General features: G+C 35.8%; 1 protein-coding gene and 1 long non-coding RNA gene across 4 annotated transcripts in view, besides 2 other annotated features; one reads left to right on the forward strand and one right to left on the reverse strand.

Moving 5' to 3' along the window:
• Positions 1 to 102: 102 nt before the first annotated feature.
• Positions 103 to 26,689, reverse strand: CXXC4 (CXXC finger protein 4). Of its 3 annotated transcripts, NM_001440652.1 has the most exons (4): positions 26,496 to 26,689; positions 26,301 to 26,376; positions 22,539 to 23,854; positions 103 to 4,161 (listed from the first exon to the last, which is right to left on the reverse strand). In NM_001440652.1, the coding sequence occupies exons 3-4, from the start codon at positions 23,595 to 23,597 to the stop codon at positions 4,117 to 4,119; spliced, it is 1,104 nt and encodes a 367-aa protein (NP_001427581.1). In that variant the 5' UTR covers positions 23,598 to 23,854; positions 26,301 to 26,376; positions 26,496 to 26,689; the 3' UTR covers positions 103 to 4,116. The 3 variants fall into 3 exon arrangements, 2 of the variants coding, with proteins under 2 accessions (NP_001427581.1, NP_079488.2); NR_132741.2 differs by lacking the exon at positions 22,539 to 23,854; NM_025212.4 differs by lacking the exon at positions 26,301 to 26,376.
• Positions 19,935 to 20,124: an enhancer, noted in NCBI's record as "active region_21764". NCBI's record gives its function as "activates an Ori minimal core promoter by ATAC-STARR-seq in GM12878 lymphoblastoid cells {active_cell/tissue: GM12878}" and the evidence as "EXISTENCE:reporter gene assay evidence [ECO:0000049][PMID:35858748]".
• Positions 22,760 to 27,406, forward strand: part of CXXC4-AS1 (CXXC4 antisense RNA 1) — a 206,628-nt gene continuing 201,981 nt past the window's right edge. Inside the window, exon 1 of the long non-coding RNA NR_125926.1 lies at positions 22,760 to 22,855. This is a non-coding gene — a long non-coding RNA (CXXC4 antisense RNA 1). The remainder of the gene's footprint in view (positions 22,856 to 27,406) is intronic.
• Positions 24,127 to 24,176: an enhancer, noted in NCBI's record as "active region_21765". NCBI's record gives its function as "activates an Ori minimal core promoter by ATAC-STARR-seq in GM12878 lymphoblastoid cells {active_cell/tissue: GM12878}" and the evidence as "EXISTENCE:reporter gene assay evidence [ECO:0000049][PMID:35858748]".

Below are 27,406 nucleotides of genomic sequence, written 5' to 3' on the forward strand. Positions count from 1 at the left end.
ATTATAAACTTTTTTTATCATAAACAAAATTAAATTTTTATGATCATATGCTCATTGCTTAAAATCCCACAAATGAAAATTTATCATGGAAAAATAGAGATATTTTGAGTACTAAAGTCCTTTATTCAACAACACAGAAATTTCACAAAAACAACTTTACTGGGCAAATTGAATGTGATTTTTTTTACTTTTTTTTTTTTTTTACAGTTTTGTACATGCCCCATAAGTAATTTTCTTTAATAAATACACTGTTTTCCAAAACCGTTTTTTAAATAATTGCACAAGCATACATACACCTTACACAAATATCTATTAGAAAATTTAATAGATAACTGCACAGTTCAGAAGAGGAGAACACTGTGAAAGGAGTACATTTTGTGGCCCATGTTCCTGAAATATCTGTTTTGCAATTGTGAAAATGGAATCCCTCCTAATATAGTAGCTGTCTTTTATTCACTAGGAATACAGATCTCAGTGTGAAATGCCAAATTTAATAAAAAAAAAAAAACTGAAACATTTAGCTGTTACATGAGAACCAACTGTTTGATATCACTGTGAATCTAACCATGATCAAAGACCCGCTACGGCTTTTTGCTGAACATATTTGACCCTGAATAGTGTGTTCATTTAACTGCTTTCCTTTTTTCATTATTTGATTACAGATACTTATCAGCTTAAAGACTTTATATGCTTTAGCATTAATTGCACAACTTACATATCAGGGTTTCTGATTGAAAGGAAGAGAATATTCCTTTCTTTTAGTGATTGCTTAATATTAATTCATAATAAGTGCACCATCTCTTGCTCCTTATAAATGTGTTTAGAAGAAGGAAATTGAGTGTTGGGAATTAAGCAACCAGGAGACATTTTTATATACTCCTACAGTGGGGGAAGACTTCCTATTTTCTTTCCCAAGGATGGATACATTTCTACTTTGAATCTGACTCCACTTGTAGACAGACAGGCAGAGTCCATCAGAAAGCCACTTTGGTCTGAAGGCTTAGTGAGAGGTTTGCATTAATGATGTTCTTCGTGATGTTATGGTGCTGAGTGACAACTGAAAAGGAAATTGGCTCACTGCACTATGTATCAACGCCTCAAGTATTTACCATGATCTCCCCAAATGCTGGCAGATTATGGCATCTCTCTATCCACGCCTAGGGAGGACAAGATCCTGTGTGCGTAGACCACTCTTACAAAGTTTTTTATTCAGTTTATCTGATATATAATTATTAAGTTGTGTATAGCTGTCCACACAATCTACATTCTGAATTTTCTTGACAGTGAATATAAAACACACAGTGAGGAATATTTAAAAGTTACATTTCATTGGTATTTGAAAATCATGAAAAATGTAAACTTTCAAATCACTGCCTTAGGTTTATAATGATAAGCTTTAGAAGTTCTCAGTACAGGGACATATGAGGAAGAAAACTAGAGAAAGGCCAGAAGAGTCATCTCTTTCTTCAACATCACCAATGAGAACTTTATATGCATCCTACATTATATAAATGGAGTTTAACCAAAAACATTAAAAAGTGGGTGGTATAAAAGAACAATATCAAGAATAAAAAACATAAGAGAATTAATGAAAAGCTACACTTTCTCATTTCAGTAATCAACAAATTTTCTTTCATTAAAAAAATGAATTGACATGTAAAACACCACAGTTTACAATATACAGATTCATTAGTTCTTTTAGAAAGCAAACAAACAAAAGCACACCAAGACATGCACTACTAGAATGTATTTTAGACTCTCAGTATACTTCTATGAGATCTTTAGGTTATTGTATGCCTACTGTAGCCTGAATAGAAGTTTGTTTCACTTCTGTAATAACAATCATCATTTTCCAAAGAGCAAGGCAAGCTTATCATTCAAGTGTGAAAGTAAGTTTTCACTTACTTGTAATTAATTAGCAAATTGGTAAACAAAAAACAAAAAATAAAATAATGGAAAAGGAAAAAAAAAAAAAAACTCATACAGCTCTCATTGGTCCCACAGCAGAAGCTGAAATTCTAACTAGATAGAAACCCTCAAAGAAATATACATCAAGTAGAAAGCTATCTCAAAATTAATACAGTATACAGCACATTTTAGCTTGTAATCATTTAATTCTCATCTCTAAATATGGATGGGTGTAACACATCATGAGTTTTTCTTGAAAACGCTTGTTGACCATAACTGTGGACCATGTATTCATACTCTACGTGAGGTAAGTCACACTTGATTTTCAAATTGGCATGTGTGCATGCTTTGTCCACCCTCCCCCAGTACTTTCACCATGAAACACTCTTTCTGCTTTTTAAAAAATCTTTTCTGTCCTATCGTATCCCATTGAAATCTACAACTAAATTTTTAAAAATATTCACTTACTAGTCTTTCCTAATCTTTACAGCTTCTTTCATTGTACCATACCATTTCTCTTCTCAAATTATCTTTCTTCTCGTGATTTACTTTGCTAACATTTTTCAGCAAGCTAATGGATTTAGTGGGTTAAATCACCTGGCTAGTGGACAAAGAACAAAAAGTTGCAGTAGGTAACTTTGATACTCTACATATTTTTGCTAAACCCTGTTCTACTCCTGAAACTGAAAATAGTCTTTATAATTGGGACAAACAGAAATAAAATGGAAGGTAAATATTTGTCCTGATGGGACGGCCTTAAGAACCCTGACTGTGATAAGAAAACCAACTCCAACATGAAAAGGTAGCACAGGTTCTATGAAGCATTAGATCCTTTGTGTGTAGGTTGTGGGGGGAGGGGTATGTCATGCATTTATGAAATTCCAGAGACTGTAGCCCTGCCTTCTCAGGAATGAAAGCATCAAGTAACAACAATGGAAATGGCAGCAATGGAGCATTTTACTGAAGGACCAGGGGAAGACCACTAGTCCAACTGGGTGGCTATGAGAAAAGAAAATAAAAAGAGATAAAATGCCTCACTTTTATGAATATGTTTAATTCTTTGTAAATTAAAAATATATCAAGCCCTGCCTCAAGGCAGAAGCCCTCAACATATTCAAGTGTTAAAACTACCCATTTAATATCATACATGAAGTTAAAACATTGGGGTAGTTTTTATTAAGATTTTTTCCTACAGAAAAAATAAGAAAAAAATTAAGAAACAATAAAACGTATACAGCCCATATTGGGCTGGGGAAAAAATGTCAGTTATAAATTTTCCCCTCCTAAGATATGATACTTTATTCTTTAGCCTAAAAAACACCGTTTTTATAAAAAAAAATTATACAACTGATTCTGCATTTTCCAACTACTCTGAGTACTCTGCCTTACAGTGCAACCCAAGACAAGTCAACTACACTAAGTATTTGGGAGGTATACCCTTCTGTACAGCTCGTTTGTAAGCAATGCAAGTGCATAACCACTACTCTAATATAGTGCTCAAAAGATTAATTGAAACTTTCATAACATCTTCCCCTCTTATAACAATAAAACTGAAGGTAATTGGTGGATGCATCATAATCTTTTAGTCTTGTAAAACTTGGCATCAAGTCTCTATGGAAAGATGCATGGCAAAATGGTGCCAGTGCTGTTGCTGCTTCTAAACCACTGGCAAAAAATAGTTAAAGCTAAAATTTATTGCTCCAGATTTAACTTGCAGAACCATACTGTTGTGTACAAACTGTTAATCTCCATAGATGCTCAGACATGATTGTCTCCTTGTGTCTAAACACACAAAATACAAGCTGCTATCTGTACAGTTTACAGTACTGAAACACATATATTTGAAAATGAAGTATAGATATGTACTTTGCAAAGATACATGATTTTACAGCAGGGGTTTACCCAAACTTATTTTTTACAGCCACTTTCAAAATAGACAACAACTTCACTACTATAGCTAAATTACATCAAAGAAAGAATCAGCGTATTGAAAGTAAATAGACTGGCCAATTCTCCAAGCTCTCACATTATTTTTATGTCTTTTTCTTTTCTTTTCCTCTTTTTTTTTTTTTTTGAAGAAAGCCCTATACATAAAATGAAAATAATTTCTGGATATTTTCTTCAGTGGTGGACTAAGCAGTTTCTTAAAACAAGACATTAGTTTGCCCTTCATTTCCAAATGCCTTGAAAATAAGATATACTACTGCTTTAAAAGAACCATCGGAATGCTTCAGCGCTGGGAACAGGTGTTCTCTATAAAAAAAGAGCAAGAAAACAAGTTAAGCTTTCTTTCTATGCCAATATAAAATTAGATTTTTCTCCTTTACACTTCAGCAATATTTTTAGTTACCAATGTACAACATAATGACTTGTATATTTCAACATTTAATAAAAAGAAGAAATGCTCAATCTTAGAACATGACAATAATTAGAATATTGAATTTAATGCTAACTTGCTGAATATACTGATTAAAACACATTGGTTTAAAAATATAGGAAATGCAGCCTGAAACACGTATAGGAAGCAGAATAAAGGTAAAGTTCAACCTCTTAACCAATATGAGGAAGACCAGTCAGCACAGGTACTTAAAATCTATATCTGCCTTGCAGAATGCCTACATCATTTTGAGTGGATCATCTTACCGTCAGGATAACATACACACAGAAGGCACAATCACATAATGAAGAAAGAAAGGATTCACTTTTGCTGGTTAGCTTTCTACATTAGTCCTTTCTCATGATAGATATTTATTTTGTATTTTTGTATTTCTAAAGATACAATCAGCTATGCAGCACATGGTCTTAAACATGAGTGAGACATATAAGCATTCTATGCGGTTAAAATGACTATGATTGAATTACTCTGTCTCTAACCACCCTACCAAAAATGCAATCAAAAACTGAAACTGAAATTTAGGTCACTGTTTTATGTATAGAAATCACAATATATATATATATACATATCCAATTATGTAAAGCTGATGTTCAAAATTCAGTTAAGTAATTTATTCTGCAGATTTTCTGACAGAATAATAACAAATATCAATATTACCTGCAACACTTATCATTAAATTCTAAACACATTTTATAGTCTAGTGAGAACCATACTCATAAAATATATCACTGTTTCAAAGTGAGTTTGTATTTTCAACAAATATATATATAAAGTAAATTGATTACTAACCAATGATATTCAATGAAGCATAACTACCCTATTGAATTGTAAACATACTATAAATGGTTTCTCCAAAGAAGTATCAAGCTAGCACCAAAGTATAAGCAATCATTTTAACAAAAAGCTTATAGTTACTATGAGGTTTTCTTGTTAGGTAAATGGTAGTTAAGCTTGAATTTTCTATGTACATTAACATCTAATAATTCCTCATGCCATATCCTTCCTTAAAATGTATTCTAATGATATACATAAAACAATCACATGAATATACAGTGAAGGTATGCAAGAAACAACAAGCTAAGAATACATTCTCCTGCAAAAGAAAGTTGACTTTATTCCTTAGACTAGCCCAACAAGCCTGTATAAATCGTAAGATGGCTGCTAAGGATAAATAAGTATATAAATTGATGTGTTGAATGTAAGTGCCAATATATTTACTAGGTAAACAAAAACACAAGAGCACATACATACACACACATTACTTGTAATGCATCTTAAAACATTAATAGCACTTGATTTTTGGATTTCAGAAAATAAACACAAAATTCTGCTAAAAACCCTCTAATAATTGAGGTTAGCTCTTATTTACTTTCTCACACGTGTTATTTGGTGGACATTGTCCTATTGTAATTATGTCATCTAATAATAAAAGTATTAATTGATTAGGATGTCAACTAGAAAACAATAAAATAAATATTTTGGAAAGCAAACATGCTTTTCGCTATCTGTACTAAAATAATTTTTTAAAAGACTGTCCTCATCACAAACACAATAAATTTCAAAATGACTGTGTTGAGAACAAATCATTGATAAATGACTATCTTCCTACTCCAAGTCTGCATATAGGTATACAGAACAAAATCTGCCTGAGCAGCGCTTTCTAAAAGCACAAACAAAAAAGTTCACTATTCTCATGGAAATTGTACTGATCTTATTAACCTGTTATAAGATGGTTTCATTGGTTTTCTCCTTTCCAGCTCACTATGCATACCTGAATCTCTATCATTTGATTTAATTGGTGAGAAAAACTTCTTTACTACTTTCTAAAATTAACTTTTGGATAAATGTAATAATTATACACATTGATTACATTAATTTAATCATTATTAAGAAGCTACATGACGTAATAAGAAATAGAACATGCCCATTCTAATATTCATGCTTTATACACACACAAAAGCAATAAATGAAAACTTAAAAGTTTATACCAGATGCTAACTTACTGGCTGATGCCAACTAAGAATAAATTTTATATAAGTATGCACACTTATATAAATGTAGTCACTTCTAACGAGATAAGTTAGATCCAAGCATATTCATGCAATTATAGATCTATGGTTACAGATTCACATACGAAAAATAAACATGTGCATATATATTCATATATATTCACATTTATGTGTATATGTATGACACAGAGATGCCAACTTACTCTCAGATGCCAACTGGAAACAAGATTATAAATATATACTTATGTAATCTTGTATCTTGATAAACATATATGTTTACGAAGATAAACAGCAAAAATATATGGAGTACATTTTTTAAATGAGATGAAGTCCTTATGTCTTAGATATACTTTTAAATCTCTTTTCCAATTCTCGCTCTTCCTGTGCCCCTTTCAGCTACTCAATTTTATTTGCAACATTTAGAAAAAGCAAGCTTATAAAATGCCACTTAGTGTCAAAGGTCATTGTTGTGGGAAAAAAAGATAATCACTTCTCAATACCTGTTAGCAGTACAAATTAATTAAACAATGCAAACACGAGAAAAGCAGAAAAAAGGTTTTCTACACTTACTTGATATTACTGTGCATCGTGATTTTACTATGCATACATTGAGACCAGTATGCATCCCCAGATGTAAGAATATGGACAGTTTATTGCAGGAGAAGTGAGAAGGTAAGCAGGGAAGCCTCTTTTAAAAATTATTTCTTCCTTATATTAAGATCCTTGAGGTCAAGAAGCCTAAAAATGATTAGTTGGGAAATCACCAAATAAAATATGTGAGAAAAATTAGGAAAACTACTGGTGCAGTAATTAGAAAATAATCAAGGCACACACCAGAAATTTGTATTTCAGGATTTTAAAAGTGTCAAAACTCTTTAGGGTCCTGTAGCCTACCCAAAATAGATGTATATCTAATCTCCTGCCCAATTTTCATCAGGAACAATGGAAATGTACTTTAGGACTGATTGAGTTTGTTTCAGCCAAGCTGGGTGAAGCAACAATGTTTTAATAGATAAAATATTGAGTTAAACTACAGGTTTCTAACTAAGTTTGTACTAATTTGAGGACACATATTTTTTCATTCTGTCAACTAATGAGGTTATCCTTGTAAGAAGACTTCTTTTTAAATGGTGCGGGGGCTCAGCACACCAATGTGCGGGATTAAATACCCTGACCAGCCACCTTTGGGTTGTATAAATTCAAAGTCCCAGCTAGGGATTCACACTCTTGATGAGATTACAGTGACTTTCTGGATCTCAGTGATGCTTGCAGGGGATCTTTATCCTGAGTGACAGGAAAGCCAGATTCCCCTGAAGAGAAGGGGGTGGGGAGGTAAAGAATAGAATTGAGTTGATCGGCATTGTTTAAGGCAGCCTTCACTGTTCATGCAGGTGCAAACGCTGACAAACAGCCGTCTTGCTCCCAGGAGGCCTGTGGAGAAACCTGCAGCCCCAGTTCTCTTTCTGGTACTGCTGTAAAGCACAGTGTTCCAGAGAATTCACCCCTACACAAACCAGGTACAACACTATCTTCAAGTCTAAAGGAGTCTTCTGTTTCTCCCTAAATTACATTAAAACTAAGGGAATTTCCTTGAATAAAAGAATGATAAAACCTAAGTCCAAGTACATTTTATATTTACTTTTTAAAAAAATTTAAAATTTAATAATGTTCCTGGCAGATATATATATATTTCAGTTTGATTTTCATTAAATCTGCAGTGATGAAATAATTAAACAACCTAAAATAATAAAGAATATGAAAAGCTTTCACCTTAAGGATTTTAGCATGTTTCTCTTCTCATACCTGCGAAGCAGTCACACGGAAAGTGGTATCTTCAGGTGAAGAATGCATCTACATATTCTTGTTAGAAATACGTCAAGTCTAATAAAACATCAGCTCCTAAAAGCTGAAAATGGGGCATCTCTAACTCTGTACATATGAGGATATGTGGATTGGCCATTCATATCTAAGTACAGTGTGTAAAATGTAGCAATATTTACAAAACTGCACTTAAAACTTTTAATAATATTAGACCTGAGGTTTCAAAGAGGAAATTAATGAAAACTTTTGATGCTGAAATTCACCTTAAATACAATTTTAAATTGAGATCATGATTATGATACTAGAAATGTCTATAACTAAAGTTAAACCTATCTTTCCAATATTTATTCATATACTTTCGAATCTAAAAATTTCAGTGACTCACCTAGGCCTTCAAAATTCTACTGTGAAACAAAATGGCTCTCATGATTTCCAACTGAAGGTCACTATTTGGGGATACCATTATTTCTATACTAATCAAAAATAATTTCCTGTTTTCCCATTTATTATTAAAGAAACAAAAGTCATGAAATCATTTTATGATTCCCATATAATCGTGAAGCATGCTTTCTTCCCAACCAAACTTAAGGCAATTTCAGGCTGTAGTTAGCCAATACCACCTACTGTATAACCTTTTGAAATATTGTTTTCACTATGAGGAGTCCCACTGTAAGTTTCTTAGACTCCTCGGCATCTAAGGCCTTGATACTGGAAACCTCCACTGCATTCAAGTCTATCATTTCACACTAGAATGCAAAGATCTTAATGAATCACTGAAAATTTGCAGTAGAAAGTAAGTGAATAAATATGACAAAACATAATAATGGACCCCACTGTTTGCCTTCAGTTATTCAATTATATAGATTTTGTTTGTGGCTACATATAAAACTTTCAAACTTTAGAAATTTCCGGATTAACAAATGCAAGCAGGTTGCTGATGGTGAAAAAAACTACCTTTTTTTTCTGATTTGATTCACGAAGAATGCTAAAACATTGTTATATAGGTTCTTGATTATGTTACTAACAAAATTTCAAAATCTACTTGGAGAAATTGGAAACTGTATTACGTATACAGTATTGTGAATGTGAACAAACTGATTGACACAAATTAATACATAGTAATATGAATCTTTGAATAATTAATAATTATGATATAAAATAATACCTAGCAAAGGTGAACACCTCCCCCACAAGTTTTTAGCAGAAAGATTTTTCTATATTCCTTTTGTAAATGATAGGTTTTAGAAATCATAGTCTAGTAACTATAATAGAGTTATTAGAAAACACTAGTAAAGTATAGGCTAATAATATAAGAGAACTATTAATGATTATCACACAGTCCAATAATTTATTGCTATTATAAACAAAACATTTTATTAATAATATCTAAATTTAAAAATATTTGGAGTAATATAAGTATATACTTGTTTCCATTTTTTAAATTACACCTCACTTTTTTCTTCTGCTCTGTTGTAATAAATCCATATTATGTCTGTAATGTATAGCAGATTAATTTTTCTAATAATCCAGATTCATTTATTACATAACTGTATGTCTTTGGTATAATCACACCTTATTTTGGTCTTTATCCAAATATAAATTAAAAACAACTTTCAACATCATCCACTAACTGGAATATTAGACCCCTATTTAAAAAGGGGAAAGCACCAAATAACTAGGTAATTTTTATGACATAACTTTTGGAGGCTTTAAATATGATTTTAAGAAACATTCCATATTTTGGTTTCCAAATTGACATTTGTGACCAAGATTTCTCCGATTAATGATGGAGAACTAGAGATGGCCTTTTCATTGATAATTGATTCTCCCTTGGCTGTTGCTCCTGTTGCTCTCTTTGCCTTGCACTCCTACACTGCAACCACCACAGTTACCATCACCACTGTGACAGCATGATTTTAGACTGTGACGGTGTGACTTTAGAAGGTAAACCTAGCTAACTTCTGCAAATGGAAAGATGACTTTATACATTATGTTGTAAAGGCACTAAGTCAAGTCCATATGGTGATAAAGCCTGTCATGAAAACAGCTGTCCAAAGGAGAATGTGTGTACACGGTGGGAGTGGGTTGGTGGGAGGTAAAATGACAGATTAACACCACGATTCACACTGGTCCAGAAGTGACCAAAAAATGTACCCATTTTGGCCATAGGTCTAATATAACTACTTTAGTTAAGCAAGTCTCTTGATAATGCTATGCGTATATAATTATATTTCAGTTAAATTTCGTAAAAATACTTCAAACCACACCATTCTAACAAATAAGTAAATTTAGTGTATTATAAGTGGGTATTTTAGTGGTTAAAATGTTCTTACCCATATAAAAATAAAACATAGTACGGTGGTACCATGGTAAGCAGAAAGAGGAAAATCTTTCAATAATTCACAAATTTAAAAGGTATTTATCAAAGCAATGTTATATACTTAACCTTATGTGTAAGAGAGAATGTGAAAGAAAATTAGAAGTAAAATTAAGATTTAAAAAGTAAAAATTGGGTTAATAAAATCAATACTATACTTTCAAGAATGATTGAAATTATTTTATTTATATAGTCATATGTTCATATTTCATTTGCATGTATATATATGTATAAATATATATGGTTATAGACTCTAAATAAATATGTGTGTGTATATATATATGAATATATATGTGTGTATAAAAGTTCAACAATTCAACTTCTTCTCAAGTAATTCCCATTGAATGCAACAGCATAGCATTAGGTGAGTTCATTGGTAATTAGCCATTGAAAAACAATGAGCAGCCTTTCCCAGACCAAGTGGTTGGACAATTTTGAAGTTCTGGTTAATTTTAAAGCAGTCAGTGAAACCGTATTAACTTTATCCCTTTTTTATTGAAGAGAAACATAAATATTCATATAAAATACTAGAAAATGAGAAGTCACTTAAAAAATCTTAAGAGGTGATGTTTAACCTGACTATCAAAACTGTGATTTGAACACCCTCTAATTTATACGAAAATAAAGTAGTTACATTTAGCCTCCATCAGCAAATCAATATGGCATATCTCTTTTATTATTATAGTTCTGAGATCTGATAAATATTTATTTCTTAATTACATAAAAGTGAAAAAAAGTTTAACAGAAAATTTCCTGTTAGGCTAAGTCAAGTAGCATTTTGGATGTAGTCACTGAGCTTCATGTGGCTCAGAATCTGTTATGAACTATCCAACCACTGGGAGAGACTCAGCCTAAAATTCACAGCATGTTTTATGTTTATGAACTACTGAGAGGAATTTAGAAAACATTAATTCTAAATATTTCAGTCAACTAGATGCTATCACCAAAATAATTTACTTTGATTAAAACTATAGTTCTAATAATAAAATGTAGCTTTTGTTGTCCCTCCCTCTCTCCCTCCTTCTTTCTTTTTCCCCTCTCCCTCCCTTCCTTCCTTCCCTCCCTCCCTCCCTCTGTTCCTCCGTCCTTCCGTCCTTCCTTCCTTCCCTCCCTCCCTCTCTCCCTTTATTCCTTCCTTTCAATTGCCATCATACGGAATGCTCAAATTAACAATCACTCTGACTTCGACTTTTGGTCTTTTCTCTTAATTCTCTTTTAAAATAATAAAATTGAAAAGTATACAGTCAATAATTAATTTAATTTTTATCAAGTCTTTATATGTTTCTTAACTGTTTAGAAATACACTTTGGTTCATCTACTTTCATCAAGAAGATAAATACTATTAAGCATTTTCCACTACTATAACATCATGGTAGGCATTTGTTCTTGTCTAGAACAAATTCTCAAGTATTTAGATTCTAATTTCTCCTCAGGAAGTTTTCATGAACTACCTCTTTTTCTATAAGTATCATGTGCTCCATCCAGAGTATATAAACCTATATACTCAGTAGAACATAGCCACATTCAGATAGTCAACTAACTAGCAAAGTAAATTAATAAATTTTCCACCATAGGATTTATAAGATGTAGTGATTGATATCCTTCTCATCATCATTCTTTAGTAGCCTTTTTTATATGCACGATTCTGTATTTTCTCAGAAATTCTCCTCATGATTACTTAAAAAGTACACTGACATTTTGTACCATCAGTTCATTATAGGGGTTGGATAGCCTTGAGCTCCCTCAACACTATCATTAGTTTCGAGCATTGGTTTTCCCATCTTGGCCTTTCTATGTTTCTAATTGCAGATTGCAGACTTAAGAATTACTTTTAAAAATATGTTTTTAAAAAACCATAAACATACTTAGTTTTCCTGAAACTAGTTTTTCCACCATGGTAAATGGAAAAAAAAAAATGCTTAGTGGTTCTAGTGGATCTAAACCCAGACCCATGACACCTTTCCCTAAATTCTGAGACTAACTATTGCTTCCCATTTCTTATTGAAACCAGATCAAGATGACCTTAAGTATGCCATTTCTTTTTGCCAATACGCCCCTTTCTGATTTCCCTTAAACAGTAGCAATTCTGTAACCTTCCTGTATTTCCTTCCTCTCTTCCTTGCCTTTATCTTCCCTCCCTCCCTCCCTCCCTTCCTTCCTTCCTTCCATCCTTTCTTCCTTCCTTCCCTCCTTCCTTCCATCCTTTCTTCCTTCCTTCCCTTCTTACTTTCTTCCAATATAATCTTTTCTCTTATTCAGGTAAAACAAAGGTTTCCAGCAGTCTGTAAAATATGCCTTGAAATAAAACAGAAAATATAATACTACAGAATCACATGAGGTAGCAAGGCAGAGATCATATTAGTCTGTGTTACTTATCTAGATGTGGAGAACTAAACCAAGGATGAGTCAAGGAATCCTAAGGCTTTTAAATAGGTGTGAGATTGATTCCAGAATTTTCTAAAATTTCAATGTTAGTTTAAATGTGGCCATTTGTCCATTTCGTGGGCTGAAAATTAAAAATATAAATAGGGAGGCCGGGTGTTGTGGCTCACGCCTATAATCCCAGCACTGTAGGAGGCTGGGGTGGGCGGATTACATGAGGTCAGGAGTTCTAGACCAGCCTGGCCAACATGGTGAAACCCCATCTCTACTAAAGAAAATACAAAAATTAGCCAGGCATCATGGCGTATGCCTGTAATTGCAGCTGCTTGGGAGGCTGAGGGATGAGAATAGCTTGAATGCAGGAAGTAGAGGTTGCAATGAGCTGAGATCACGCCACTGCACTCCAGACTGGCCAACAGACCAAGACCCTGTCTCAAGGGAAAAAAGAAAAAAAAAAATATGGAACTAAGTACCTTGGATGAAGGACTAAGACCCAGAGCTAGAGAATTACATGCATATTGTAAAAAGAGCAGGAATAAAGAACATTTAGGGTTCTTTAAGCCAGGATTTGTGTGTGTGTATATATGCATGTACATATATATTGGTACATACGTATGTATGTATACATGGAACTTAAGTCTTGGAAGATAACAGTTCCACCTAAACATCTGTTAAATTGAATTGAATTTATCAAGGGTTTACTATGTGCTAATTAATACCATATATTCATGAATAGACAGCAAAGGTATAGACCTGCCTGGAATAAGTAAAAATACGCTATTTGTAAAAACATTTCAATTTTACTCTTTATCTTGTTAACATTGTTCAAATATAATTTCTTTCCTCACTACAGACTTGTTCAATAGTGATATTGCTGTTGCTAGATTAATGTTTTTCAAATTTGACTGCAACTAAAAGTTATAAATACATTTTACACAGCAACTCAGCACATACATACACATACATTTCTTTAAGTGTACATAACTGAAACAGAAGTTGAACAATGCTTGCTATTACTACATGTGATAAACTCATATATTTTTCTGCTCCATTTTATTCTAACCTACTTTCTAAAAAATCTTGATGGTAAGTTAAAACATTGGTTTCATGGACCACCAACATATTGTCACCTGCAGTTTGATAAACACACCTCCATACTGTACAAAAATGAATTCATGTGAAAAGAATCACATGAGGAAAATCTAAAACCACTCCACTTCATAAAGAATTTAACTCTACATATAGCAGCATTACAAAGAAGAGCTAATGTATTTCTCTTTCGATGGAAATAAGCCAAAGTTCTCTCTTCTTTTTCACGGACTAAAGGTAGAGCACACAAAATATTTCATGTTTAATGGAAGACTCCACAACTTTTCACTTCTTATACACCTACATATGACTGTTAATTTTATCCTTTTTTCTTATCTTCACTTAACATTAAGATCACCACTTATCTAATTTAATCTATTTTTAAAAAGCATTGCCAATAGAGAAGTTATTCCCAAGCATAGTTATTTTTCTACCACTGATTCACCAACACTAGTTCTCGCCATTTCCACATGATTAAATTTATATGGTCTTCTGTTCACTTAAAAATGTATTTAATCTTGTTTCATTCTCTAAATTTTGGAGAAAATATATCTATCTTCTGTGGCATTTGCCAGATTTGCTGAAATAGACAGAAATGTCCAAATTTTTCCTAATCTACAAACATATATCCCTTTCTCTTTTCATCCTACTTGATCCCTATCATTATAGTATTATCAATAATCCAGTTGTGGTATGGTGTGGGGTTTTTTGTTCTTGTCTTTTAGTCTTTGGGCAAGAAGCAGCACTTTCAGCACCGTCTTTCCCATAGTCTGACACTTTACTTTCTCAAGAATGTTTTCTAAAATATGAATTTTAATGCAGAAGAGACACAAATGGGATACCATTTTCCACCCATCTTGGAAGTATTCTCTTTTAGTTACACTTTGGAATTATTCTACCAAATGTTTCAAATGCATAAGTAAAAATAATAACATCAGCTATAACACAATCTGTTTTTCCTTATCTCTAATTCATCTGCCACTCCACTCAAGCCTCAGTTCTGACTCTCAAACCAAAAGTATTGAGTCTAGTCATTAAAAAAAAATTATCTTTCTTTTTAAAAAATATTTTCCATCATCTAAAAAGCTTTTATAACAGCTAAAGCAAAGCATACATCCATAATTCCATCTTGTCAAAGTTCTTTCTATACACTGCATTGGATTCTGGCTTAAATATTCCTTTCTCCTTTGTTTCTCATCTTTCTTGGTCAGCATTATAAATCTTTTAGGGCTTATCACTCTTTTTCCCCAGAAAAACACCAGCTATTCCGATTAATGCTTAATAACTGTCTTCATTTTAAAAAATATTCTGTTTTTAGTAAAAAACAGAAAAACTTCATGTAGCTACTTCACTTTTTAGGTAAAAATGCATATCTACCTGTTTTATTTCCTATGTACACTCATATATATATATATTCTCGAATTTTCCAAATTTGTTAAATATGTTCACTTTCTAATATTTGTTACATATGTTTTCCAACTGGAATTCATTTCTTTCTTACAATTATTCTCTTGACCTCACAAATTCACATTTAGAATATCTCTGTGTCTTGGAAAAAAAAGTCAAATAAAAGTATTGGGTTAGTAACGTGAAACATAAACACACACACACATCTATCAAAATATATAAAAATTAATAGTGGTGATATGTCTGTGGTAAGGAAGGAGAAAGAGCACTAAATAATTGAAATTGGCTCACCATATTGACTGACTTCACTGGGTAATATGCTCAGTTTCCTAAGACATTTGACAGTGCAAGTATAGGAACAAGGAAACATGTTTAATTAGATTTATCTCTTTCCAAGTAAACTCAAGTCATATCTTTGCCAACTGGGTAATTAAAACAAATATTCAAAAACCACATACCACTAATAGACATCAGGGCTTTAATGTCTGAAAACTATAAGTAACCTATTGGTTTCTTATCTATAAATACAGTTGCCTTATTCTCCATTTCCATTGAGGTTTTAAAATTGGACTGAGAAATTATATAGCATCTTTCAGTTTGCCAACAACATTAAACTACATATAATGTTAAAACGTTATAAGGTAGGTTGATATTACTTTCATCTTATTGATGAGGAAATAAAGTTCAGAGAAGTTATGCTGATGTACCTAACATTGTTCAACTATTAAGTTACTTGATACTAGTGGCTCTTTTCACAATTTCTTACCTATGTGGCCACATGGACCACATATAATTTTAAATGAAAAGAAATTAAAATGTAGGAGCTTAGTAGTATATTTCCTGAATATAATTTATACCATTTTATATAAACCAAAGAAATACATCTTGAATATGACGTCTTTGAAAAAGTAATTGCTTGCTTTGCCACAATCTCTTTAGTAAAAAACATAGTGGGAAATAAATGGGTTAAAGATTAAGAAAGAGGAAACCAAAAAATTCAGCAGGCTTGATTTCATACCTAGCTATGGATTCTTACGCTCTTAAAATAAATTAAGAGAAAGCCCAGAAGTTTCACAGAGGAAAAAATATTTCTCATAATGTTTTAGAGTAGAAGTTAACAAGCCTGCTGGGATCCTTTTAGCCCCTGCAGAGCTAAGTCTTCAACATTATTAAATGGCTGTCGCATCTGAAGTATGGTACAACATAACTCAATAAACAACAGAAAACATATGATGCTGAATGGAGGGAGGCTTTTCGATTACCCTGCAGAATAATTCAATTTCAGGACAGGTGTTTGCATGTGATGGAACAAGATATGACTCAAGGATAAAATCACCCTTATGCCCCTCCCCCAATATTTTGAAAATCCTAATAATAGCAGCAAAATGCTAGATTTAAAAGTATGTTAAAAATGGTCAGAAACACTGATGCACAAATGAAGGAACAAAATTACACATGCACAAAATTCTCAAAATTTACATGGATTACAAAAAATACATACTTTCTTGAAAAGAAGTTTTTATAAAAGATGATGCTTCCTAGAATGCCCTACTTCCCCAGCTAAGATCATCTGACATTTTGATCAGTGACTAAAAGTCACATTACTAATAAAATTTAGATTTTATTTTCAGTTCATTTTTGCTTTTTTACAAACTAATCTTGGAATATGAGAGAAACTATAAAAGAATTAGTCCTTTCTCCAATTTGTATATTTACATGGGCTTTTAAATAAATCTTGTATTTAACTTATGACTTTAACTAGATATTTCTATATGACAAATGCAAGAGTTTATTTTTGGTATTTTGCATAATGGGAGTAAAATAAATTTAAGAAATTAAAGCATATCCACTCATATTGAATAGTAGGACATTATGTCAAGCTTTTTCAGAGTAAATTGAAGTGAAATGTTTTCTGCATATTCAGACAATCTGACCAGTTGAGGTCCAGCAGTAAATTCTGAGAGCACCAACAACTTTAGAAGACTTTCTTAAAAGCACACTTTCAACCTATGCCTGAGAGATACTCAAATAGTATAATGTTTAACTTTGTATCCAGAAAGATAGTTTGTATTCAGAATATTCCAACAATGTTTCCACCCCACCATGGATCTTCAGCCTGGAACCTGTTAAACAATGTTCCAACTGGAGCAAATATGGATCAAATGCCTGTTCTTTTTGCATGCCTTTCAATTTTCAATCTTACAGGCTATTTTATTAAATTGTTTTGTACTTATCAATCTATAAGTCTGACTATGCAAAACTTAACTATTAATTCAGAAAAGTAGATGACTGAGACTAAACAAAATATAGAGAAATACTTCAGTAATCAATTATTTAAGAACTTGAAAAGCCACACGACTTTTATTTCTTTCATCACTAGATACACTTTTCAGAAACCTAAAGTTTATTTTTTAAATTTGCTCTTATATGCCTTGTGTTTGCTCACTTATATTTTGTTTGATGATGGTTGAATTTCAAACATTCTTATAGCATAATTTACAAATGAATTTTAATTACTTTATTTTATTATTCCTAATTGCCATCTAAAACATGGCTTAGAATTTACATGATGGTTGGATGGGCGAGGGTACTGTTTTCATTTAGGAAGTATTAAAAATGTATGTACGCTTTGTAAGTTTTTAAACTGACAGTTAAAATTACATGTATTTACTGTGGGTACAACATGATATTTTGAAGTATATAAAAAACAACTTTAACTCCCTTGTATTAAATCCAGTGATGGAAAAATAATCTCATTGAACTTGTTTTGCAGTTTGATGCCTTGGCCACAAATTCATTTGTGGCTTTAGTCAAAGATAAAATTTTCCAAGCTTTTTCCTTATTATTTATAAAATTGAGGTGTTTTTTCCTACATTATTTATATGTTACATTCTAATGTTAATATACTATCATTTTGTTTAAATTTTATTGAAAAATTTCCCCTTTCCCTTTCATACTCACTTATATATTTGCACTTTTTGGTTAAAATAAAAATATTTTTCTGTTGGTAAGTTTCTTATTCTTGAGATGAAAAATTGAAAACTCATTTCTTAAAAATTATGACATAAAAAAACTGGTGGATGTTTCCATTTAAGACACAAAACATTTGCATTTTATCCATAGATTTTTTTGTCACCAAACCTCAGAAATGTATATGTTCAATTATTGAATTATTTTATTAACTAAAAGCTCTTAGTTTGAGTGACACACCTATTTTACATCTGGTCTACAAGTTAATTTCCTCAGGAGGCAGGTGCCACCTTCCTGTACTCATTACAGATGGTGCTTTGTCCAGAGTTTTACAATTGCCATTTATGGTTGGGGCTCTTAGAACTTAACAGCGTAAACAATATGTCCCTCCTCCCCTATTACACTCTTCTGAAGTAAGCTATCAAGTTAGAGACAGTATTTGAATTTTTTTCTGCCAACCCCCTTAGAAACTCAACCTAACTTGTGGAAAAATTACTGTTGGCCTGTACATTCGGCAGATAGATTTTTAAGAGATAAAAGAAAGTAAAGAAAAAAAATGGAACCATCCTTCTTCCTGACTTTCCAGTCTCTCAATGTCTTCACTATAACCTGCTCTCTCTAGTTTCTTCTCCAGCTCAAGGAAAGTCTCAGTGGTGGCAGTGTGAAACTTACTGCAAAGAGAGCCAAGAGTGGGGGAAGGGAAACCTCCTGAGGCACTGCTTACTAATGTAATTCCATAAATCAACTAATGGTAGAGAAACCAGATCTGTGTGGTCTCTAATGCTGTCCCACAGAGATCAATCATGTCACCTGAACAATGTTCAGAGACTAAGAGGCTGGGGTTGCCCATGGGACAATTTTATCCCTTGAGCCATATCAGATTGGGATATTTTTAAAAGTTAGAAGTCAGTATCAGAAATGTTACTGTTGTGAATATAAAAACTGAAGGATTATCTTTGCAAGAGACAAAGTGTTATCATGTAACTTATCATAAGGATCTCCTATATGATCACGTTTATTAAAACATCAAGGAACTTAATATTTTTCATTTAGGATAGAAATTTTTAAAACAGTTTTTGTCACACAAGGGGCAGAGAGCATTTGTAATGACTGCTTTGAACAATTAGTGGCTATTTTTTTAACAGAGTAATTGACTTAATGAACAGTGGTTATGCAAATACACAGTGCACAGTATAACAGAAAAACTAAATGTTTTGTGTGCATTATCATATCAAATATGATCAAGGGGTGATTTTATAAACACATTTCTAGGGCATCATAAGATGCTCTTAAGGTGAGACTAAGCAGAAAAATAGAAGGCAGTTTTAAAAGGAACACTAGGGAGGAGGCTTTGAAAAAAATCTGGATGAGAGTCCCAACATATCCATGTGAGTCTGTCTTAATTTCAGTTTTCTCACCCTGAAAAAAAATCTGACTATGTCTCCAGTCTTTGGGATGAGAACAAGTCAAAGGGAAGAGTGGCACATGAGTCTTGAAGTGATAAAGAAGAATATATGTTATTATTATGATCCAGATGTTAATTGGCACCCATAATTCAAAGCCAACAAATATTAGCTATGGAGTTTACATCTGGAACCCACAGGTGATATCCACAATGAGTCCCCAAATCACTGCCCTCAGCCAGGAACCCATCCAATCTCTAAAACATTTTCCCAGATGAGGATGGACCAAATTTAAGAGAGAAACCAGGTCAGCAGGGGGACTTTTCACCTTCCTGCAATTCCTCTTCCAGCTTTGGTTCAGTCATGTAAGCCCTGTCACTCTGACATGTGCTCAGCTGGTTTCCTACAACCATAACTGTGTATTTGCACATAGGTCTAAGGCAGTCATGATGGCATTGTCTTTTTTAATGATCTAGATAGGATCTTATACAATTTTGAAAAAAAGCTTTTTATTTCTTTTAGCCAAATAGTATTCCGCTAATAATCTTAGCCTTGAAACACAGCCCATGCTCTGATAGAAGGGATCTGAAGTTAGAAGATCAGCTTGAGAGTTCAAAGGAAAAAATCAGCTTCTTATTCTACCCATACCCCACCTTGTGAAGAGTAACAGAATTTTTGTGCATGAGAATTTTTTAAAAAGAAGAAAATGTAGTTTTATGGGATTTTGTCATCAAAATGCCTGAGGAATTTAAATATCACAACAAGCTTGTAGGAAAAGCATCAAATTAAAAAATTACACCAGCATAGAAACTTGTGCAGAAAACCTATTGGTACTCATATCAAACCCCTGCAGGGTAATTATTTACTAAATAAATCAGAATTATTCAGTTACTACATATCTTAAATTGGGATGCAAGTAGTGCCACGAGTCTAGCTAAAGATGAGGCCTAACAGCAGAACCAAATTTATAATTCTAGATACTACATTTCAAGAGGAAAAATAAAAGCCATGTTGTCCTTATCAGCTGGGAATAGAGAATTTCAGTATGAACTGAATTTTAATTTCCCATAGTCCTTAGAAGTTACAATAAATTAATCCGGCAAAGAAGATTCAAAAGCTATTTTTTGCCACCTAAGAAAATACATGGACCTGCATTATAGTTGCTATTATATTTGCACAAAGAAAGTTGCCAAAGAAAATGTAATAAACCATCCAGGAGTAAAGTTAAACTTTCCAAAAAGAGCTGATTTATCTTATAAAGAAGAATAAATGCAATATTTTGATGAAACTGATCATACCCAATAATGACATCAACATAATTCTGATATTTTTAGAATCCTAGAGGGCTATCTCATTTGATTTACACAATTAAAGGTTAAAAAAAAAACTGTATCTTCTTTGTGTTCAAACCTGTACCAAAGATCTTTAACCCTTCTCTTTATTCTTTTAAAGACTGCTTCCCAGTTCATAAAGCAAACTCCTCTAAGCAGTACTCACAATTTTTAAAAGAATGTACAGATAACCCTAAGATAACTTGTGAGAGCCACTCTCATCCTGCAACTCACTCCACAGAATATTAAAATGTTAAAGCACAGAATGCTAAACCCACCACCTACAGTCTCATGTATATATGAACATCTAATTATCTACCCTGTAAATTTTATCGAGACTAACTATAAGTACTTGTCCAGATTTCTTTGTTTAATATACCACCAAAGTCATTTACCTGTGATTTTTCATTTTTCCCCATTTTTGTTTTGATCAGGACACAATACAAAATTTTTATCAAAGGTATCAATCTCTGTATTTAGCATAATTCATAACCTAATTTAACAATTACTTTAGTGAGCATCTGTACAATATCTGTTTTAAAGACCTATAGGTAAAAGAAACTATTATTGACCATATAAGGTATCAACCAAAACTGTGCTTGGTGTATACACCAACTTTGTAACCACAAAATGGTTACTTTGTCCAATGCAGAGCCCAGGGGAAATACTTTTTTTGTAACTGAGTTTTAGAAATTATTCATTCTAAAACCACATAAAATAATTTTTAAACAAAATCACTCTTATCTGCCCTGAAATTAACTAATTGTATCCCTTTATTCTAAGTCACATCTCCTCAAAATTTGCAGGTAGAAATCCGCTTCCTACACAGTTTCAGCTTTCTCCAAAAATATCAGATACGCAGAAAATAAAATAGAAAACATTCTGCCTTGATGAGTAGAAAAATGATTCTAGAAAAGGGTAGGAAATCCCCTTCTGAATCCAGGTGTTTCAACTTCATTGAATACTGCTGTGTGGTTTGTTACCGGTTTTTTAATGAGAACAGGCTTGTGTACCACAAACTGTGTCCTCACTGTTATAAATGGGCCACTAACTTAGCCAGTAAACTTGTATAGGATGTGATGTGTCCAGTCCTTTGGGCAAGATGCCCCACCCTTTTTAATGAGGAGGAGGGGGCATTTTAAACCACCAAGGGAAAATATTGAGCATATTGAATGTGAAACTTCTGATTCTTCAATTACATTATTTTTCCCCCAGGGATAAAAAGGAGGGCACTCTCTCTATCAGAAGGGCGGTGTCACGTGAAGTGCAGCTGGTGCGGGTGGTGGAGAGGCCAAGCCTTTCGCAAACCACCTACAACTCTTACCACCTGAATGAAGCTTCTGAGAAGGGGTACTGCATCTTGAAGCCAGACAAGAATCCCTGAAGGGGAGAGGGAGTGAGGAGGGAAGGGGGGAGACTGGGAAACAAGAAATCATCTCCTCTGACCTCTAGTGAAGTGCCAGGTTTTTTCTTTAGCTCTTCACATTTTCTAAATTTGCAGATCTGGTGTCCCGTTTTGCGGTTCCTGCAACTGCTGCAGACGCCACAGTTGATGAGCCTCTTGCAGGGCACGCAGACCCCACACCTTTTCCTCTTCTTCTTGGCTGGGTTGGCTCCGCCAGCTCCCCCTGAGGAGGACGAGGAGGAGGAGGAATGATTCTGCGGGCAGTCTGCCAGATTGGCAATTTGAAACGCACTGTCTGTGACGGCTGCTGAGGCTGCTGCGGGGGAGTGAAGGGCTGTCATGACGATGACCCCTGGAGGTAATGAGATGCCCCCTAAAGCCGGGATAGCGGAAAAAGTCCCCACGCGCTCGGGGAGATTCATTATCTCTGCTTCAGCAGCGCCGCATTTGAGCTTGTTCATGCATTCCCCCGCCAAAGGTCTGCAGTGTTCAGGGGATAAGGTGGAGAGGAAATTAGTATTTGCCATTTGCAACGACGGCTCTGGCGGGCAGCCAGCTTTCCCCAGCCTCTGGGAGTCGTTTCGGTGGTGCATGCTGGTCCTGCTGCCGCCGCCGCCGCCGCCGCCGCCACCGCCGGCGGGGAGGATCGCCGAGGAGGAGGAGGCGGAGGAGGAGGCGGCGGCGGAGGAGGATTTCCTGCCGCCCCCACCACCCCCGCCCCCGCCTCCGCCGCCGCCGCCGCCGCCGCCACCCCCCCCGCCGCCGCCCCCGCCCCCGCCGCTGCCCCAGAGCATGGCGGTGGCGGCGGCGGCGGTGGCCGCGTTGTCGCAGTTCCAGGGGGACATGCCGATGCGCGCGGCGGCCGCGGCGGCGGCGGCGCTGCTGGGGAAGATGGGGGTGGTGATGCGCGCGATCTTGGCCGCCTGTGGGAAGGCGCCCCCGTTGGTCTTGTAGAAGGAGGTGGCAAAGGAGCGGTAGCGCTCCATTTCCGAGTTGTAATCCACAAGGCTGTTCAGAGCCCCCTCGGGCAAGTGGCTTTCCTTGGGCAAGCCCGGGGCCTCCGGGCTCGGCCCGGGCTCCACGCAGACATTGGTGTTCATGGTGCAGGGGGGGAAGAAGGGGTGCAGGGTGGAAGTGGGGACCGCCTGGTCCGACACCTGGGTGGAAAAGGGGGAAAGGTGGGGGGGAGGGAAGGGAGTGATGGTGGTGTTGGGGTGGGGGCCGAGGCGGGTGGGGAAAGTGGGTTCGGGTGGGGAGAGCAAGGTGAGGGCTGCTTTATTCCTCTCTGGGGCTCATTTCCACAGACGGTGAATTCCCAGGCAGCGTCTTCCTTTGCATTATCCTCCAACTGTTACAACTAAAATAAAGAAAGTCATTCCAACGAGCTGCACGAGGAAAAAGATTAAAAATAAACAACCTCCCTCACTAACCCACCGCAGACACCGAAAGCTCCCACATTCTTCCATCAGGTCGTTTGCATAAGAATCATCAAGACGTGACCCCCCCCAGCCCATCCCCCCCAACTCTCCCAACCCCCGCTCCCTCCCTCCCCACAGCAAACCACAGCTCCTCCCCCCTATTCTTATAACCCTCCTGAGAAAATGTATTAATAGCCAGGATACCCAGGGAAAGAAGGAAGACGGGGGTGACAAACGCCTAAGGAAAAGGGCAATTGGAGTGCTAAAGACATGCAAATCATGGGTGGGAGGGCGATACTACCTATAAGCAGAGGGCATTTAAACATTATGAAATGTGTGAACAAGTGCTGCCTGGGCATGCAAATGCTGTAAAGTAGAAAACAGCAATGGCCCTATGAGGAAAATGAACAGGAAATTAGCAAATGAAGTACTGAAAAAGTCTACAATACATCCGAGTATAAACTGTAAGCAAACACAATACAACTGAGAGCTAAGAGACTGCCCACATACAATCTGAACTAAAGAGGCAGGGAAAAAAGAACTACCAGCTGCCACAGTATCCTTCTGTGTCTGCGGTCATTAGTTTGAATCCCAGCACAGCTGGCTCTGTTAGGGTCTTAATTCAATGGACCAAGGACAGGTCTCAATTGTACAAGCCATTTGGTGGTGGGTCTTGGTGGGGGTAAGAGGGTGGTGTTCTACTTGATTTTTTTTAAGGTAGAAAATAAAGATAAGCCAGATAATTACATATATACATATTTATTTATATCAGCAATGTCTCAGGTTTTAAACCAAGTGCCTGCAGCCTCTATAAGAATATTCCTAATCATTCCTAATGGAGATTGCTGTCTCTTCCGAAGACAAGAGGAAAGCATGGGACTTTTTGAAAAGGATATCTCACAATCACTGATTTTTACATTGAGTAAAAGGGGGGGGGGCTTTAACGTGTTCTTTGCCAGAGAAAAATAACAAAATTATTTTTTAATTTTGCTCTTTTTAAGAGGAAAGTTTAATGTTAACTGGGTATTTGCATTAATCTCCTTGCTTACAGGCCATTATTATGCTTTAGGAAGAGGTATTTTAGTTGTTTATTACAGAGGGAGAAGTACATCACAGCCTTTTAAGAAGCAAAGCAAAGGCATAAAGTGTATATTCACTTAAAAAACCAGTTTCTTTGTTTCCAGATTTTTTGGCCAGAATATCTTTTTGTGACATCTTTTGAAGCCCATAGATTGGTCTAGAATGCAGAGTTCAGGGAATTCTACATGGGGGCCCAATAGTCTCCGTCTCAAATATTCAGAGTTCAAAATGGTTATCAATTATAGTAATTATGCTTATAATTAGGTTAATGAACCAGTTATGCCCAAACTCCAAGTGCAAAAACTTCAAGACCTACTGATGAGGTGCTCTAAAAAGAGGGGTTTATGTAAACAAATCCCTATTAGGCAAAGTAAATCAAGATAAGGAACCTCACCCCAGGCTGGATTAGAAGCTTGCAGGCATCTTTCAATCACAGCAAGTCCCTAATCACTCAGGAACCACCTCTGTGGTTTCGCATTAGGGAAAACTGCTGCCTTCTCAGGTCTGAGGGCAATACAAAAGGTGCCCCCAAAATGCTCTTGGCTAAATATTCTTGATGCTTGGAAGGGGTGAGGGAAGACACAGCAAGAATATGCATATAGCTTCAGTTTCTGCGAATCACATTGTAACTGCAAGACCATAATAACTGCTACTCAGTAAAAACTAGTTATGTCAACCATGCATTAGATATCATCACATTGAGTGGAGGGAAAATTTTCAACCTTTTAGTCTTTTGACCTTGTTCCAAATAAATAAATAATTTAACGTCCCTTTTTTAGAGTCTTAGAGTGGTGTTTCCAAACACAAGCTTTCCTTGCTTTTCTGATTGCCATCACCATCCCTCTTCCTACCTCAAGGTTTAATACCACCAGAAACTGTAGAAAATGATTATGCCCAGTATCCAGGTCATTATTGTTTAATCAATGCATCTCTGGAGCATGAAAAAGGTATCTAAGCCACAGCTATTGTTTGGATTTTATTTAAAAACAAAATAAAACACACACAAATAACTATAGTTCTATGCCAAAGCTAAATTAGAGATCCATACTTCATGATCCTGTTTTGCCTTTAAACAATGTGACTTTACATGCCTAATACTGTATGTCTGGTCTACCAGAGACATAGAGATCAAAGGTCATATTTAACATTCAGGAGGAGGGGCGGGTGCAGACTAATTAATAAATTAATACAGCGACGCTTTTTCTTGCTGGAGTCCAGCATTAATAATCTACTTTCACAATCCCAACGGACAGCAAACATTTAAGAGAAAAAAAAGCCAGAGAAAGAGAAAGAACAATCACTTACCAGTCTCTTTTTATTTGGGGAGCCTTAGAATTTGCAGACGCTGCCAGTCTGCCTTTAATTAGTTGCACATCACCCCCTAACACAAAGAAACACAAATCCAGATGTGTCTTGGCAGCTCCCAATTACAACTTTAATACTTGTAAACAAACTGTTGGGGGGGGGGGGGTAAATAAATATGCGGATCAAAAAAAATACCTGTAAATGGCTTTTTTTTCTTGTTGCAGAGAGAAGGAGGAGGAGATGGTGTTAGTGGTGGGGGTGGAAGGAGGAGGAGGTGGGGGGAGAGGAAAGAGTCGAGTGTGAGTGTATGTGTGAGAGCGCGGGTCTGTTGTCGGTGGTCTCTCCTCTCCCAGCGCGTTGCTCTCCGTCCGTCTCCAGTCGCTGTGTGCGAGGGAGGGAGGGAGCCGGGGAGTCTCTCCTCTCTCTCTCCCCTCTCTCTCTCTCTCTCTCTTCCCCTCTCTCTCACCCTCCCCCCTTCTCTCTCTGTTTGTGTGTGTGCGAGTGTGCGGTTGCTGGGGGAGGGGAGCCACAGAGAAAGGCGAGGGAGGAGGTGTGGAGGCTGGGGGCGGGGGCGCGGGGGTGGGGGTGATTGGCGCCGAGGTGAGGAGGACGCAGGGACGTGGACACCTACTGATGATTGGCTGCAAATTACACGGGGAACAAGAGGCGCACGCGGGCCAGCGCTCCTTTTCACAAATCCTCTCCTCGGCAGAGGAGCCACGTTTTCCCTGCTCGCCTGCGGATCGCCCTCCCTCCTCGCGCCCGGCTCTCCGGCTCAGCCCAGCACACAGGGCTGTTGATTATTTTCTTTTGCTCTCGGAGATAATTGTTTGGAAGGGTTGGAAAGAGGGCGTTTCCGCCACTCTGCGTGTGGGGTGTGTGTGTGCGTGCGTGTGCGGGTGTGTGTGTAAATAAACTTGTCTGGGATTTCTGGCTGGGTTGAGAAGAGCAATACAAGAAACAGAGAAAAGGTCATGTTTGTTTGAAGAATGCTCTTAGTTCGTACCCAATGGCATGGTTTTAAATAAATTTCCTGGTGTACCCAGGAAGACTTTAAAAAAAAATACCATTTAGATCTTTAAAGTAAGGGAAAACGGACCGGTGTG

This window comes from Homo sapiens, chromosome 4 (genome assembly GCF_000001405.40).
Source record: "Homo sapiens chromosome 4, GRCh38.p14 Primary Assembly".
Classification (NCBI taxonomy): Eukaryota; Metazoa; Chordata; class Mammalia; order Primates; family Hominidae; genus Homo; species Homo sapiens.